General features: G+C 36.4%; 1 protein-coding gene across 22 annotated transcripts in view; it reads left to right on the top strand.

The window, feature by feature from the left end:
• The window catches only part of NR3C1 (nuclear receptor subfamily 3 group C member 1), a 157,582-nt gene that overhangs the window by 117,217 nt on the left and 22,519 nt on the right, over positions 1-17,846 (top strand). For 18 of the 22 annotated variants that reach the window (NR_157096.2, NM_001018075.1, NM_001018074.1 and 15 more), the window contains 3 exons: positions 4,128-4,294; positions 8,083-8,199; positions 17,533-17,811. Coding sequence is in view for 21 of the 22 variants with exons in the window: in NM_001018075.1 (NP_001018085.1) it covers positions 4,128-4,294; positions 8,083-8,199; positions 17,533-17,811 (563 nt within the window). In the remaining variant the exon portion in view is untranslated. Of the gene's footprint in view, positions 1-4,127; positions 4,298-8,082; positions 8,200-17,532; positions 17,812-17,846 lie in introns of all 22 variants that reach the window. The other 4 variants (NM_001364183.2, NM_001364184.2, NM_001024094.2 and 1 more) reach the window with 1 other exon arrangement.

The raw sequence follows: 17,846 nt of genomic DNA, 5'->3' as shown, positions 1-17,846 counted from the left end.
CCAATTTTGGTGTAGTAATCAGAAAAGGCAATCTATAATTACCTGAACTTAAGTTTCTGGAGGACCATTAACCTTCTACAGGCTCATGGGGAAGACTGTAGCACTTCTCTTTCCCTAAGATCCTCCAGAAAGGAAGAAGGTAATCCTTGGGGGTAGGGTAGAGACCTATTGTGTGATGATCACCAAGTATGTAACAATGCTTTATATAACTCTAATATATATAATCCACACAAACCCCCTAAAATGGCACTAATAAGGGAATGGACTCAAAGAAGTTAAGTCAGCTAGCCACTGTCACAGCTATTAGAGCACTGGAACTAGGATTTGAACCCAGATTTGTCTGTATGTAAAGCTGATTCTCTTCGTAATAGTACTGAGACACAAGAGGCGGCTACAAAATATTCTGGTACTCCATCCTAGACCAGAGTTTCAAGGTTCGTTATCATTTGTAGCATGATACTGGATCCTCACAGTGCTTGCCTTTCATTCAGGTGCCAGGAAACGTCTGCCTGAATGAATGGGTGTAATTTACCTGCACATTTTACATGCTTCTCTAGGTGTGTGATTAACTCATAATCCATCCATGACTTTCACCCATAATCCTCCTTGTAGCAATTGCTTTGCTTGCAACAAAACTAAGTAGACATATCTAGCTTTATGCATGGTTTTCTCTCTCTGAACTCTAACATAAACTCAGCCTCAGGAATTATTCGGTTTCTACTACATTTGCCATTCTGATTGGGAACCACCAGCATTCAGGTATTCACCTGGAACAAGGCATTTTGTTCCAAGGGTTCCTCACTTAAAAGCAAGCACCCTAGCAATAGTTCATAATGGAACTTCTTAACATTCTCAGAATGTTTGGCACAGCTGTGAGTGAACACACATTGAGCAATCAATAACTATTACAGATAATGATGCCCTTAAGACCAGGATATTTTAGCTTTCCCATTCAAAGGGGGTGAAATATGCACTCTTACTATGGTATACTTTTGGTTCCTTCTGCCATGTATCCTTAATAAAAGATGTCAATTCCATATGGTTTTCTCTTGAGTTCTAACCATTTTGTTGTACCCTAGCCCTTTTAACAATATCAAACTTGCAACTGAATACCATTTAGCATTCATCCATTTTTTCCAATGGTGTTCATTATAGGCTATCTTACTCCTCCTATTTGTATGACAAAAATTGGCTTTTTTCACCGATGTCTATGGTACATCTGGCAGCTTTCCATGTACTCAGTTCTTATCTGATGTAGCCCAGAACGACTGCCTGAAGGGATGCCAAAAGCCTGATTGAGGTTCCAAATTTTCAGCTACTGTACTATCAATCCATTTGTTCATTTTTACTTTCCCTTGTCATCTGTAGCTTACAGTTGAGTGGCCTGAACATGTTTTGCATACATTGTAATATCTAAGAATTTGGGAATACGGTCCTAGGATTTAGACTTAATACTACCTTCCATTTATATAATACTTACTCATAAAATCTTCAGTGTTCCTGAAAAAGAAAAAGGAACATGTATTGAGTGCCTGCTAGAAGCAGGAACTTGTAGTAGATTTTCTATGTGTTACCTTATTTTCACAACACACACACAGGTGATATCCTTCCCAGTTTACTGATGAGGAAACTCAGGGGTCAAAGTAGTAGATACCTACCCAAGGTAACAGAAGCTGTGAAGTGGTACAGCTGGGATCTAAAATATGTCAGCTTCACCGTAGATAGGCTCCCTGATGAACCACCTGCCACGGCCCGTATGACCGCATCCAGGGGTGATGATGTCATTTTCACAGGGTTATTGAGAGCTAAAACTACGAAGTACTACAAACTATTATTTAAAATATAAATACATACTATATATGCATATGTGTGTATATATAATTAATGGGGTAAACATTACAGAATACTGTCCTAACCTTTAAACAATGCACTCGTTTTCTGTAAACTAATATACAAACAACTGTTTGGTCCCTAAAAATAGATGTCAGGTGACAGAGACTGGCTGAGCAAGAATAGGAGTATCTTCAGAATAGAAGCCAGAGGAGTTTTTGCTTCCCCAACACATTGTCGCACCATTCACTGTTCCAGGACCTTCCTACTTCTCTGGAAAACTCTGGCCCAAAGCAGCTCCTCTACATTAGTCACAAGTTTCCATTAATCAGGGGTGGCCTGTGCCGGACCTACAGCAGAGTCATTTCAGGTTATTCTGTTACAGGCTTTCGACGTGTAGTCAGTCCACTCGCCCAAATCTAGCAGGGAATGAATGCCTTGTAATACGGAAGCATCTACAAATTCTTCTTAACAGTGTTCAGAGAACAATGTGAAACCCTGGGGCCTTTTCCCAGAATTAGGGTGGTGGGAATGCTGTCCTATTGACTAAGCCTGTTAGGTAAGCAGGCAGTTGGCAAGATTCAGGAAGCTTCATTTGAAGATAGAATTTAGGGCGATCGTTTGGATTTACTGGCTTAATTACTTAAGGTAACATTTATAAAAGAAATTGTCATTCCATTATTATTACCTTTTAACTTTTATTCCTAAACGGAACATTAGCAACAAACTACATTACTTGATAAATGTAATTTCTAACCAGATTGATAACTAGAAAAAAATTTTAAGTTACTTTGCTCTGTGAATTAGTTTAAACATATTTGTAATTGAGACTTACTACTGTTATTGGCTGAAATAAATAAAAGCAAGAGATAATAAAGAATAACAGAGACAACGAACACCCAATTTAAGTTTATTTCTAAGTTCCATCTTTTTTAGAGAAAAGGCAAATTAAGAAAAGTTTAGAGAGAGGTACTAGTATATTTATGAACTTGTATAGATGATAAGCAAAACGGACTTTAATATGTAGAATTCCAGAATCAACAGGTTGCCAGCATCCATGTTTTTGAAGATTTGCTTAAGAACACAACCAAAAATGGAATGGGCAGTCTCTAATTACAAGCAGAAGGCTACAAAATCATTTTAGCTGCATAATACAGTTTTGGTTCTAAAGTCAGCACGTAAGAGGAAAATTCCTTAGGAAAATACAACATTGAAAACCATTGTGTCATGTAATATGAAATGCAATAATTAATTTTTCCTCCAGTAATAGAAAGATCACTGTTTCATTGGTTTATAAAAATATATCTTTATCATTAAATGTGGCAAAATGTTAAGACTTGGTGAATATTGGTGAAAAGTATATATCCATTGTACAATTCTTTCCAATTTTTTTTGAGATTGAAAATTTTTAAAACAACAAATTATCTTTTAAACAGCTAATAATCACTAGACCTGCACTCTTTGTGGTGAGACTATGAAAAATGTTAGAGACCTAGTAAGAGAAGCAGATTCACATTTCTGTCTTCTTCTTCAAGCCAAACAGTCATAGAGTGGAGTGGGCAGAATGGAACTCACTTTTGAAAGCCTAGTGCTTTGTCCAATCTTACTGCAAGCCAGACAGGAAGGTTATAGAAAATGTTTCTGGATCAGTCTTCTCTGAGTCATATGAAATTGTGGTTTCAGCCAAGATGACATTAGGAATTAGAGACATGGGACAAAAACTTTAAGATTGTAAAAAAATTTTGACTCTAGTAGGAAACATGGGTAGAATTGTAATGACACTTGATTGAATTTTAAAAGATGCCTGTATAAGATCTTAAAATTAGGAAAAAAATTATGGCCTAAGCAATTAAAGGCATAGGAGGCATCTTTTTGGGATGATGGAAATATCCTCTCTCCTGATTGTGATAGTAGTTACATGAATATTCATTTAACAAAAACCATAAATTATAGACTTAGAAAACAGTAAATGTTACTGTATGTGACACCTTAATAAACGTGATTATAAAAATAAATCCTAAGCATCTAAAAAAAAAAAAAAAAAGAAGAAGAAGTGAACCAGAACCACACCATTCTATTTTGGAGACACTTCAAAAGAAATGACCTCATTCTTAATTTTGTTTAAAGAAGAATATAACATGATTTGAATATATTTAGCTAGGATATTTTAGTGCCTGCTAGCACTTGAAGCCAGAGTTCACTGTGAGCATTCTGACTATGAAGTGAGAAGCTAAGAGAACTGTATTTTGATATTCCTTTGACAGTTAAATCATAACACTGTTCTTCCCCTTCTTTAGCCCCAGCATGAGACCAGATGTAAGCTCTCCTCCATCCAGCTCCTCAACAGCAACAACAGGACCACCTCCCAAACTCTGCCTGGTGTGCTCTGATGAAGCTTCAGGATGTCATTATGGAGTCTTAACTTGTGGAAGCTGTAAAGTTTTCTTCAAAAGAGCAGTGGAAGGTAGTGTGTGTTTTGAAGAGTTTATTTTTCCTCTACTTGGTTTTCATTTCTCAGGGTGGATTTTGAAATTTCCATTATATGCAAAGCCCATGAAAGGCTAAATATCAGTTAAGAGGGGAGAGGAGGGTGGCTCCTAGGTCCTCTAATGGGCAGGAAAGTATTTAAAACAACAATACAAAAAGATCTAGAATAAAATAGAAAAGTACAAGTTGATGTCTGGGAGTTTGGTCAGGGAGCATAAGGTAACACTATAAGAAAGTGCTATCATATGAAATGATGGTGTTAAGTTTGGGCATAACATAATGTTCATTGTATTAGAAACATGGGCTTTAACTTCCATAAGCTAATAGGTTTCAAAGTCACCAACTTTACTGGCCTGGCAAAAATGAGTCACAGTGAGAACTGTGACAGGAAAAAAAAAAGATATTCATTTCATTTCTTATTCATTTTTTTTTTCTATTAAGCCAGGGCACTGTGCTAAGTGGTATAAATACCAATAAGACCTGATCCTTACCCTCTGGGAAGTCACACTCCACTGAAGTGAAAGATGAGTTAACAATGACAAGGTACAGAGATTATAATATAGATGAGGGAGAGAGAAACTCGGCCTGAGGAGGTCAGGAAAGGTATTTTAGAGAAACTGATTTCACTATATAAATGTTGTATTAACACAAATCTTACTTTGTTATGGATTCAGACTGCTGACAGGGCAACAGCATTATCTCCCTAAAGAATGAGAAATTCATTCCATAGCAAATTTATTAGAAGAGAGTCTAAAATGTCCTAATACTACCAGTGACTCCTCTAGGAAAAAAATTGTCATATAATTTAGTTATTTCTAAAGCAGTTTGAAAGTAGCTTGGCCTAAAGCTCTGATTATATTAATTTTTTAAAGAAACAATTATTCATTCACTGTATGAGGATTATTATTATTTGTCTCATGTTGTGTTTGCATATCCATGAGAGTTAGATGAGTCATTTTCTTTTGTTTTACTTTTTAATACATTAGCAAATTATAAAATTACTCATATTACACCACAAAGATTACAAGGATGGCAGCTTTGGCCAGTGTAGTAGTCCCACCTATTGATTAGAGTCAAAAGTAAAGCCCAGCCCTGCTTTGTGCATTGCTCCTAATAAAGTGGATGTTACTTAACACATACGCAGAAGACAGAAGCGTCTTCGTGTCCTCACTTTACTCCTCACTTTCTTAACTGCTTAAGTATTTCCACGATATAAATGCAGTGATAATAATAATACGGACAGTCCCTGACTTAACGATTTTTCAACTTTTATGATGGTGGGAAAGTGATACGCATTCAGTATGGCTCCTCGACTTACAATGGGGTTGCCTCCAGATAAACCCATTGTGAATTGAAAATATCTTACACTTAGCACTCCATTCTTAATACCTGCTAGAATTATAGATTATCCCTCAAAATTGGCATAGTATAATATGGGTATCAGCAAGTTGTTGCACTTTATTCAGAGCTTTACACTAGGCAGGGGTGGGCTTTACTTTTGACTCTAATCAATAGGTGGGACTACTACACTAGCCAAAGCTGGCATCCTTGTGGTCTCTGTGGAGTAACGTGAGTAGCATTATAATTTACATCCCCCATAACAAATGATCCAAGAGAGTATGTGATCAATGCAGCAGAACTATTGTCTTTTATTATCTGATTTCACATGTAACATGCCATCACTTCTGCCATATTTTATTGGCCACACAGACCAATCTTGGTAAAGGACGGAAAGGGACTGCACAAGACCATGCATTCAAGGAGGCAGAGATCACTGGGGGCCATCTTGGGAGGCTGGCTACCACACCCACCATAAATAGAAAACCAGAATTATTTGCCAAAAATAGACTTTAACCACAAAAATGAATACCATATAAACAAAACAAAGTCACAAAATTTCAGCTGACTTGAAGACTCATCTTTCTATTAGTTAGAAAGGGAATTTACCAAGTAGTAGAAGACACAGGAACTCCAAAATAAGATATCTCATTGTCTTATCAGAAGGGTTGACAGGAAAATGGGCTGGGCACTGTGGCTCAAGGAAAATGGGCTGTGCACTGTGGCTCACACCTATTATCCCAGCAATTTGGGAGGCCAAGATGGGAGGATTGCTTGAGGCCTGGAGTTTGAGACCAGCCTGAGCAACATAACGAGACCCCGTCTCTACAGGAAAAAAAAAAAAAAAAAAAACGTTATCCAGGCATCGCACCTGTAGTCTCAGCTACTCAGGAAGCTAAAGCAGGAGATTCAGGCTGCAAAGAGCTATGACACACCACTGTACTCCAGCCTAGGCAACGTAGCAAGAACTTGTCTAAAAATAAATAAATAAATGAGTCAAGGAATGAATGAATGGATTGACAGGAAATGACTATTAGTTGTACGTGGCCATGTGTTATGAAATAGTGAATACTAGTTAAAACTCCTCATTTTATAGATAAGGAACAGATAGATAGACTTGTCCAACTTCATGCTAATAACCACAAAGGGCTATTTTTAACTTATGAAGGTACATTGCCTCTGATCCTATAGCTCAGAGTCTTAGCTGTGCACAAGACATACCTGGGATAAAGAAATCAAGATTGGCGTAATGTGCACATCCTGACATTTCAGTTGGATATAAACAAAACTTTGGAATTTTTCATTTTTAGCAGTGGGTGATTTTTTTTCTTTTTTTCTTCCAGTAACTGTAGGACAGTGATTTAGAGATTCCTTATAGGGTATAACTTTTTTGTATTATAACCACTTCATCAATAGATGTATCTGTTGATCGTACTTTTGATTTATAGGGGATAGAATTGGGTTAGTGCTTCCATTTTCTGTCCAAGTAAAGAAGCTAGGATATTTATAGAGTACAAAAAGAAATTGAAACAGCTGGTACAGATATTTGGCATTGGAGAGCAGCTCTGAACAAAGGTGAATTATAGTCTAGTGGTCAATTTTGTGGCCTATTCTTTACAAAGAATTGAACCTGATACAGTTAACCATCTACCCCAAACTATTATTTGTTTAAAACACAATCTATTGGCTGGGCGTGGTGGCTCATGCCTGTAATCCCAGCACATCGGGAGGCCGAGGCGGGTGGATCACGAGGTCCTGAGATCGAGACAATCCTAGCCAACATGGTGAAACCCTGTCTCTACTAAAAATATAAAAATTAGCCAGGCGTGGTGGCGTGCACCTGTAATCCCAGCTACTCGGGAGTCTGAGCCAGGAGAATTGCTTGAACCTGGGAGGCAGAGGTTGCAGTGAGGTCATGCCACTACACTACTACACTCCCAGCCTGGGCGACAGAGCGAGACTCCATCTCAAAAAAATAAAAATAAAAAAACATAATCTATCAAACTGTGTAAAACACAGTTTATCAAAAAAGTAGTTACCCTTGGTGGGTACTGGCTGGAATTGGGCAGAAAGGGGGCCTGTTGGGGTACTGTTCTGTTTCTTGATCTGAGAGCTGATTACATAAAGGTTCTTGGTTTGTAAAAATTTATTAAATGGTTCACTGATTTGTGTACTTTTTTTATATGTGAATACTGCAATAAGGTTTTTTATTGCACTGTTTTCAGTTTGTTGAACAGAAAAAGGGAGACTCTTTTTGTTGTTTTTGACCTCTCGACCTCATAATGGCAATGTAGGCAAGAACATTCCCTCAAGGCAATACCTGTGGGTGTCTTGGTTATATTCCACCGGAAACAAAGACAGAGGCTGTCCTTATAAAATATGTTTGAAGACCTGTGAAACTTTAATAGTGCCTTTTATTCCATATAGGACAGCACAATTACCTATGTGCTGGAAGGAATGATTGCATCATCGATAAAATTCGAAGAAAAAACTGCCCAGCATGCCGCTATCGAAAATGTCTTCAGGCTGGAATGAACCTGGAAGGTAATATAAATATCTGAAAGCAATTGTTTGTCTCTGTAGCTTATAAAAATTTATCATTTTACTTTTGAAGATACACGTAAGCAGATGTAATTAATGTAGTCAGTTCAGTATATATATGCTTGACTAGCATAATGTTACTGCCCAATAAAAATGGGAAATTTTTTTCATGAATATGTCATATTGTTTGTTTATCCACCAGTTCTTCTTACACACACTGAATTCAGTACAGCCAGACTATATACAAAGAAAGGAAATTATGTAATAATGAAACTTACACAACATGCAGCAACTTTATTATTCTTACTCCTTTTTTCAGCCTCAAAACTATTCCCTAGGGTTGGAAATGTTTCTGTATCAGACATATTTACATGTCCATTTTTCTGTTTGCCTTTTAAAAGCATACCTTTTACTTGGAGATCTGTGTTTTATTACAGATCTTCAAGCGGGGGGTGGTGGGAAAAAAAAAACCTCAAGGAAGAACTGGATGGGTTTTGTTTTGGTTTTCAAGTAAAGAAGAAACCTGGGCCGGGTGCAGTGGCTCACGCCTGTAATCCCCGAAGTTTGTGAGAATCCTTCTGTCTAGTTTTTATGTGAAGATATTACCTTTTCCACCGTAGGCCTCAAAGCGCTCCAAATATCCACTTGCAGATTCTATAAAATGAGTGTTTGAAAAACTGCTCAATCAAAAGAAACGTTCAACTCCATGACCTGAATGCACACAACAGTGAGAAGTTTCTGAGAAAGTTTCTTGGTCTCCCCGCACTTTGGGAGACCAAGGCAGGCGGATCACGAGGTCAAGAGATCAAGATCATCCTGGCTAACATGGTGAAACCCTGTCTCTGCTAAAAACACAAAAATTAGCGGAGCGTGGTGGTGTCACCTGTAGTCCCAGCTACTCAGGAGGCTGAGGCAGGAGAATCACTTGAACCCGGGAGGCAGAGGTTGCAGTGAGCCGAGATCACACCACTGTACTCCAGCTTGGCGACAGAGCAAGACTCCGTCTTGGAAAAAAAAAAAAAAAAAGAAACCTGAAACTAGTTATAAGTTAGAGTTTCATATCCCTGTTTATATAACAAGTTGTATAATTAACACTGATCTCAGCATTAAAAAATTTTCCTCTGAAAAAAGTTTGGAATTCTGCTGTGGTTGAAATTGCAAGTTCTGTGAAGGTAGTGGTGATCTCATAACACATATGCTTAGTATTTATTGTGAAATTAGCACTTTTATTCAACAAATATGCACCAACAAGGCAGTCACTAGGTATAAAATGAATAAAATAGTGCCTGTATTCAAGTAGTTTATCTGCTAGTTAGGTTGCAGAGTCAGTCACAAAATAGCATGGCACACCATAGAGGGCATAGGGCCACAGGAACAAGAGGAAGGTCACCTAATTCTGTCTTGGAAGTCAAGGAAGAAGTAACATTGAATTTTAAATCTATAAGCTGAGTAGGAATTAGATAGATGAAAAATAAGGGCAGAGACATGATCAGATTTGTATTTTACAAAGACTAATCTTACATGGAGAGACCAATTAAGTGAATATGGCAGTCCTCCAGATAAGAGATGGCAGTACTGAGAGAGAATGGAAACCATGTGGTTCCTTTTATGATTATGATGATTATTATTATTTTAGAGACAGAGTCTAACTCTTGTCACCCAGGCTGGAGTGCAGTGACATGAACATGGCTCACTGCAGCCTTGAACTCCTAGACTCAAGCCATCTTCCCACCCAGTAGGGCTACGGATGTACACTACCATGCCCAGCTGATTTTTTTTTAATTTTTGTTTTAATTTTTTGTAGAGACAAAGGGGTCTTGCTATGTTCCCAGGCTGGTGTCTAACTCCTGGCCTTAAGTGATCCTCCCAACGTGGCCTCCCAAAGTGCTGGTATTACAGGTGTGAGCCACTGCAACTGACCTATGTGGTTCTTTTGATAGGAGAGACTAATTGTTGGTGCTATCTAGCACACACTGTGTGTAGACATCTTGTTAAATAGAAAATAGATTTATGGGTATGACTATGAAGAGTCTAATTCCCCAAACCACACACACAACTCTATCTACGTTTGACCAGGCTATTTAAACTTAACTGCAGAGTGTCAGCATGTTAAACATTGATTTACATAAAATGATAGCTGCCCACTTTCTTGTAAATGTTATAAAAACTGTAGAGATTAACTAAAAAATGCACACAGAAGTTTGCTTTCAGTTCCACAAGGGTAGTTTATTTTTGTTATAAAAACAGTATTCCCCACTTTCTTAGATACCAGATCTCTGCCCAGATTTTACCCAGTTTCATCTTGCTGCTCTCTAATCTCCTATGTATGTAATATACTTTGACCATTTAAATATGTATTAAGACACTTGAGTTTTTAGTGCCCTTTGGTTTATTTTCTCCGGTCCCAATTATCTCTAATCTTCATTTTTTCATTTTACCTATTTTATATTTCGAAATAGGTTTTGAATGAAGCTCAAAGGACAAACCCAAATAAAATTCTGTCGTATCTCTAATATATTGTGGTTGCTTACCCAGTAACATTTTTAGGTGCTTTTCTGAATACATATAAAGTTTAAGATCTTTGGAGTTTTAAGTATATAATGTTTTTCTGGGCAATTTCTCCCTATCCAAACTATGAGGGCCTTCTTTCATCAAAAGAAAAAAGATATATCAACTACAAAGTAATGATTTTGATGGACTAGGCTACGAAATCTGTCCATTTTTTCCTCCTTCTTACAGTTTAATAGCAATTGCAGTGCCCTTTGCCCTTACTGTACTAGAAGACGACCCCAGGCAGTGACTGACATCTGATTTTTCTATTAATTATACCATCACTGCCATTTCCAGTTGAATCTTTTGTTGGACATCAGAAATTTTTCTTACATGAATAAAATTTAAGCATACGGTTGGGCGCGGTGGCTCATGCCTGTAATCCCAGCACTTTGGGAGGCCTAGGCAGGTGGATCACGAGGTCAGGAGATCGAGACTATCCTGGCTAACACGGTGAAACCCCGTCTCTACTAAAAATACAAAAAATTAGCCAGGCGTGGTGGCGGGCGCCTGTAGTCCCAGCTACTCGGGAGGCTGAGGCAGGAGAATGGCATCAGCCCAGGAGTTGGAGCTTGCAGTGAGCCAAGATCGCGCCACTGCACTCCAGCCTGGGCGACAGAGCGAGACTCCGTCTCAAAAAAAAAAAAAAAAAAAAAAAAAAAAAAAAAAAAAAAATTTAAGCATACAATTTAGGCTGCAGTTTCTCAAAATATTGTATTAAAAATAACCAATTATATGCTTTTATAGTCAGTATAACGTATCCAGTTAGTGTAGAAATTGGCATTTGTTGAAAACTACTACATGTTAGTCTTTGATATACATTCTTCTACTTTTTGGACCCTGATTATTAAAAACACCTTTGAATAGGGCCATGATTTACTTTATATCCATTTTTATACTACATAGTGGAAGAAAATTCTGATTTGTTATTTCCTACTATGATATGTACCGTGTGGCACATATCATATAAATGATCCAATTCTACTTGTAGATGAATTGAAAGAAAGGCTTAAAAAAGTTCTTAGGGTTTGTGTGTGTGGTTTCACTGTAAAACTATCATTTTTGTATTGAACTAACCTCAGTATACATAAAATCTTTATTTGGCCTGGTATGTACGTATGCCAGGAATCTTTGGCAGACCCTAACACTTACAATACAGATGAGCCATGTGTTTCACACTTTTTTTTTAACAACCTTCAGAAATATTCTCTTGTTCATCAGAGTGCTTCCCCTAAGCCAAGCAGTTTCGATGATAGCCCCAGAATAACTTTGCCCAAGTCTCTCCATAAATGTAACTTAGGACTCCAAGTGGTGTATTTTTATACTCTTGCCCCATACCAAGTAAATCTCAAGATTTATTTTAAGGGAGTGGCCTTCACTGCTTAAAGGGCCTAGCATTTAAGAACAGATAAGATTTTTAATGGTGATCCTAAATGTTTTTTTTTAAAAAACTTGCTTGTTTTTCTCTTGAAACTAAATGTTTTTATTCACTTCATTTTAAGATATATTGTAATCAATCCAAAGTATGGCTTTATTTTTAGTATAAACAGTCAAATGAAGCTTAGTCTTGTGGCATTGTCAGATTTATAACCAAATATTACTGAAACTAATTTTTTTAAGTTCAAAAACCCAATCTAGTAGTTTCTCTCTTATTTTCAACTTTTATTTTAGATTCTAGGGGTACATGTACAGGTTTGTTACTAAGATACATTGTGTGATGCCGGTGTTTGGAGTATGATTGAACCTTTCATCTAGGAAGTAAGCACAGTACCTAACAGGTGCTTTTTAACCTGTGCCTCCCTTCCTCTATCCCCCCTCTTGTATTTCCCAGTGTCTGTTCCCATCTTTATGTCTATGTGTACTCAATGTTTAGCTCCCATTTATAAATGAGAACATGGTATTTGTTTTTCTGCATTAGTTCATGTAGGATACTGGCCGCCTGCTACATCCATGTTGCTGCAAAGGACGTGATTTCATTCTTTTTGTGGCCACATAGTATTCCATGGCATATAAATACCACATTTTCTTTATCCAGTCCACTGTTGATGGGCACCTGGGTTGGTTCCATGTCTTTGCTATTGCAAACCATGCTGCAGTGAACATATGGGTACATGTGTCTTTTTGATAGAATGATTTATTTTTCTTTGGGTATATTCCCAGCAATAGGATTGCTAGGTTGAATGGTAGTTAAACTCTTAATTCTTTGAAGAATCTCCAAACTTCTTTCCACAGTGGTGTCATTGTGGTTTTGACTTGCATTTCTCTGATGATTAACAATCAGCATTTTTCCATATGTTTGTTGGCCACACGTATGTCTTTTTTTGAGAAGTGTCTGTTCATGTCCTTTGCCCATTTTTAATGGGGTTGTTTTTGCTTGTTAATTTAAGTTCCATATAAACTCTGGATATTAGGGCTTTGTCAGATGCATAGTTTGCAAATATTTTCTCCCATTCTGTAGATTGTGATAGTTTCTCTTGATTTGCAGAAACTCTTTAGTTAGGTCCCATTGTCAATTTTTGTTTTTGTTGCAGTTTCTTTTGGGGATTAGTCATAAATTCTTTCCCAAGGCCAATGTCGAGAAGGTTATTTCCTAGGTTTTCTTCTAGGATTTTCATAGTTTGAGGTCTTACATTTACATCTTTAATCCACCTTACTAATTTTTATATGGCAGTAGGTAGGGGTCCAGTTTCATTCTTCTGCACATGGATAGCCAGTTATCCCAGCACCATTAATGGAATAGGGAGTCTTTTCCCTATGGCTTATTTTTATCAACTTTGTGTAGATTACATGGCTGTAGGTGTGTGTCTTTATTTCTGGACTCTATTCTGTACCATTGTGTGTGGTTTTTTTTTACCAGTACCATGCTGTTTCGGTTACTATAGCCTGTAGTATAGTTTGATTTGGGGTAATGTGATGTTGCCAACTTTGTTCTTTTTGCTTAGGATTGCTTTGGCTATTTGGGGCATTTTTTGGTTCCATAGGAATTTTAGAATGCTTTTTGCTAATTCTGTGAAAAATGACATTGTAGTTTGATAGGAATAGTGTTGAATCTATAAATTGCTTTGGGTAGTATGACCATTTTAACTATACTGATTCTACCAGTCCATGAGCATGGAATGTTATTCCATTTGTTTGTGTCATCTTTGATTTCTTTCAGCAGTGTTTTGTAGTTCTCCTTGTAAAAATTTTAAACTAACTTAGATGCATTCCTAGGTATTTTACTCTTTTTGTGACTGTTACAAATGGGATTGCATTCTTGATTTGGCTCTCAGCTTGAACATTACTGGTGTATAGAAATGCTACTGATTTTTGTACATTGATTTTAAATCCTGAACCTTTACCAAAGTTGTTTATCAGCTCCAGGAGCCTTTTGACAGAGTCTTCAGGGTTTTCTAGGTATAGAATCATAAGTGAAAAGAGATCGTTTGATTATTTATTTTCCTATTTGGAAGCCTTTTATCTCTTTCTCTTACCTGATTGTTCTGACTAGGATTTCCAGTACTATGTTAAATTGGAATGGTGACATTGGGCATCCTTGTCTTATTGCATTAAGGGGAATGCTTCCAGCTTTTGCCCATTTGGTATGATGTTGGCTGTTGGTTTGTCATACAGGGCTCTTTATTACTTTGAGGTATGTTCCTTCAATACCTAGTTTGGTGAAGGTTTTTATCATGAAGAGATGCTGGATTTTATCGCAACTTTTTCTGCATCTATTGAGATGATCATTATTTTTTTTGTTATGTGGTGAATCACATTTATTGATTTGCATATGTTGAACGAGCCTTGCATCCCAGAAATAAAGCCTACTTGATTGTGGTGAATTAACTTTTTGATGTGCAGCTGGATTCAGTTTGCTAGTGTTTTGTTGAAGATTTTTGTATCTGTGTTCATCAGGGATATTGGCCTGTAGTTTTGTTGTTGTTGTTGTTTCTCTACCAGGTTTTGGTATTAGAATGATGTTTCCCTTGTAGAATAAGTTAGGGATGAGGCCCTCTTTCTAGATTGCTTTTTTAGAATAGTTTTAGTAGGATTAGTACCAGCTCTTCTTTGTACATCTGGTAGAATTTGGCTGTGAATCCATCTGGTCAAGGGCTTTTTTTAATTGGTAGGTTTTTTATTATTGATTCAATTTCAGAACTCGTTATTGGTCTGTTCAGAATTTCAGTTTCTTCCTGGTTCAATCTAGGCAGGTTGTGTGTTTCCATTTCCACATACATACTTACTCCAAATAATGGCTTTATATATACGGGGGTCAGCTGAAAACAAAAATGATACTTTCATAGTAAACTCCACCCGCCCCCCCACCCACATACACACACACATAAACCCTAGATTTTTTAAAGCCTTTGTTCCAATTTATCCATTTCCTCTAGATTGTCTACTTTGTGTGCATAGAGGTGCTTGTAATAGTGTGAAGATCTTTTTCACTTCTGTGGAATCTCTTGTAATGTCATCTTTTACATTTTTTATTGTGCTTATTTGGGTCTTCACTCTTTTTTTCTTTGTTAATCTTGCTAGTGGTCTATCAATCTTGTTTATCCTTTCAAGTAACCAACTTTTATAAACTAGGTTTTAAGCTAATTAAGATTTCTCTACTTTCATTAAGAAGGAAGTAGTGTTACCACAGACTCATGAACACTTCTGTGGAGCTCCTGTATTGACTGCTAATCAACTATATGCTCCAATGGGTCAGGAATTTATATAAAGTTGTATTAACTAAGTTGCTTTAAAATAGTGATTGCTTAACTAAATGATTCAGTTCAGTTAACTCCTTCCTGAAGATATTTTGAAAAATTAATTAGTATTATTTCTTGCTCTAGTCAGTACAGCACAGTTGGGTTCAATTGTACTTTCTGAGCTGTATTGAAAAACATCAGTTTTCTCATTTAGAACTATATATAAGTAGTGAGAAATTAATTACAAACTGAGTCATAGAAAATGTTTTTTTTTAATCCTCCAGCTTGTTACTCTTTCTTCCTTGTTCTAATGTGGAGTAAAGAAATATGCATTCCAAACCATTTAAAGTTATGACTAATTGAGGCTGTCAAAGTACTGTTTCAGTGTATTGATTTGGCACATGTGTGTTCTCTTTTACATTGTCAACAAAAGTACATTTTATGATTTTGGATCAAGATTTCACTGAGATACTTCTGGTTGTTTAAAGAGTTTCTTTATGTATTGGTGTCTTTCCTTTTTAAAATTTTATCACTCCTCTATTAAGTTGTGATATCCAAATTTAAAATATTCTAAAAACATGTTCTCCTGCAAGTTGAGGTAATGATAGTTGTTATGTGGTACTTACTATAATATATGCCAGGAACTGTTCTAAGCATTTTACATATTTAATTCTCACAACAACCCTATGAGGTAGGGACTAATATTGTCCTCATTTTACAGAAGGGGAAATGAAGAGTCAGGGAGTAACTTGCACAGATATCCAGCTACAACATGGCAGAACCAGGACTTAAATCCAAATATGCTGATTTCAGGTTTCTGCCCTTTAGTCCTATATCATACTGTGCCTCCAAGAGAGCATGGTAAACTAATTAGCATGGTTCTATCATGATTCTGTTTCTATTTTGAACTATTAATAAAAATTTTTGCAATTCTCAGTTACCCCATTTAGTATAGAACACAATAAGAATGGAACCATTCTATTCTAACATTGTACATTGAGATATCGTTCCCACCACCATATCTGTCCTCCATAGACTATATGGTGTGTCATTTTAAGGACAGAGGATCTAAAAATGATTTTTAAAGGTGATTTACATTTACTCTTCCCTTTGCAAAATGGTTTGCATCCCTAATAATTTAGACAAGTACATTTCTTCGTGATATAAATTACATTTCTTGCCTTTCCCTGGAATTCTGAGTACTTTCCCTCTGAGAGAACAATGTAATTCTTATTTATTTAGTCACTAAAATAACTTCAGGAGTATGAATAAGTCTACTAAAAAGTCTACAGGATCCATGTTGTAGTTTGAGTAGATGGTTCCATACCAAGTCAAGGTAAAAGATAATTTATATATAATATGAAAATGGCTGCTTTAGGTTTATAGAGTAATCAATATAAATCTTCCTTATAAAAGGGAAATTTCCCACTTATAATTTATGTAATGTAAAGTTTTTCATTTCATCTTCCCAAATGTTTTTAGTCCCACGCAGTATTTATGTTAGTACCTATGTAAAGGTGAAAAGTGAATTTTTTCTACTGGTAGAACTAATACTATTTTTAGCATGTAATCTGCTGTCATCTTCCTATCTTTATAAGTGGCTTTGAACAAGTGTAAATAGTGTAATTCTCTTCATTATATATACTACCATGATTTAGATTAATCTTAAACCACAGTTTGTAATCCGTTACTCCAAGCTTAGATTTTTTTTTCAGTTTATAGTAAGAGTAATTTGCCTTATATAACCAATGAAATTGTTGCATTTAGAGTGAAAGTGAGATAAAAAAATAATTTATAGAAGAATTTACAAAAGTTATTTACTCAGATTGTTTTAACATACCGTTATAATACTTTGTATAAGGAATAACTCTAATGAAGTTTCTGGCCTATTTGTAGGCAAAATTAATTGGGAATAGGTTCCTCTGGATCTTTTGCTTTCAGAAAAAAAAAAGTTTTTTCTCCTTTTCCATGTCACTTTATCATAATTGCTAAATAAAATATTTCTCCCATCTTAATAGTTTTAGAAAGTAAAAATACTTCTTGAATAAACTGTGTAGCGCAGACCTTCCCATTACAGTTCATTTCTATGTATTTGTTTAAATACCCACAGCTCGAAAAACAAAGAAAAAAATAAAAGGAATTCAGCAGGCCACTACAGGAGTCTCACAAGAAACCTCTGAAAATCCTGGTAACAAAACAATAGTTCCTGCAACGTTACCACAACTCACCCCTACCCTGGTGTCACTGTTGGAGGTTATTGAACCTGAAGTGTTATATGCAGGATATGATAGCTCTGTTCCAGACTCAACTTGGAGGATCATGACTACGCTCAACATGTTAGGAGGGCGGCAAGTGATTGCAGCAGTGAAATGGGCAAAGGCAATACCAGGTAAGATGCAAAACATAAAAGAGCAACTATATAAA

The sequence above is a fragment of the Homo sapiens genome, chromosome 5 (genome assembly GCF_000001405.40).
Source record: "Homo sapiens chromosome 5, GRCh38.p14 Primary Assembly".
In the NCBI taxonomy this organism is placed as follows: domain Eukaryota; kingdom Metazoa; phylum Chordata; class Mammalia; order Primates; family Hominidae; genus Homo; species Homo sapiens.
This window is presented reverse-complemented; position numbering and strand designations above follow the sequence as displayed.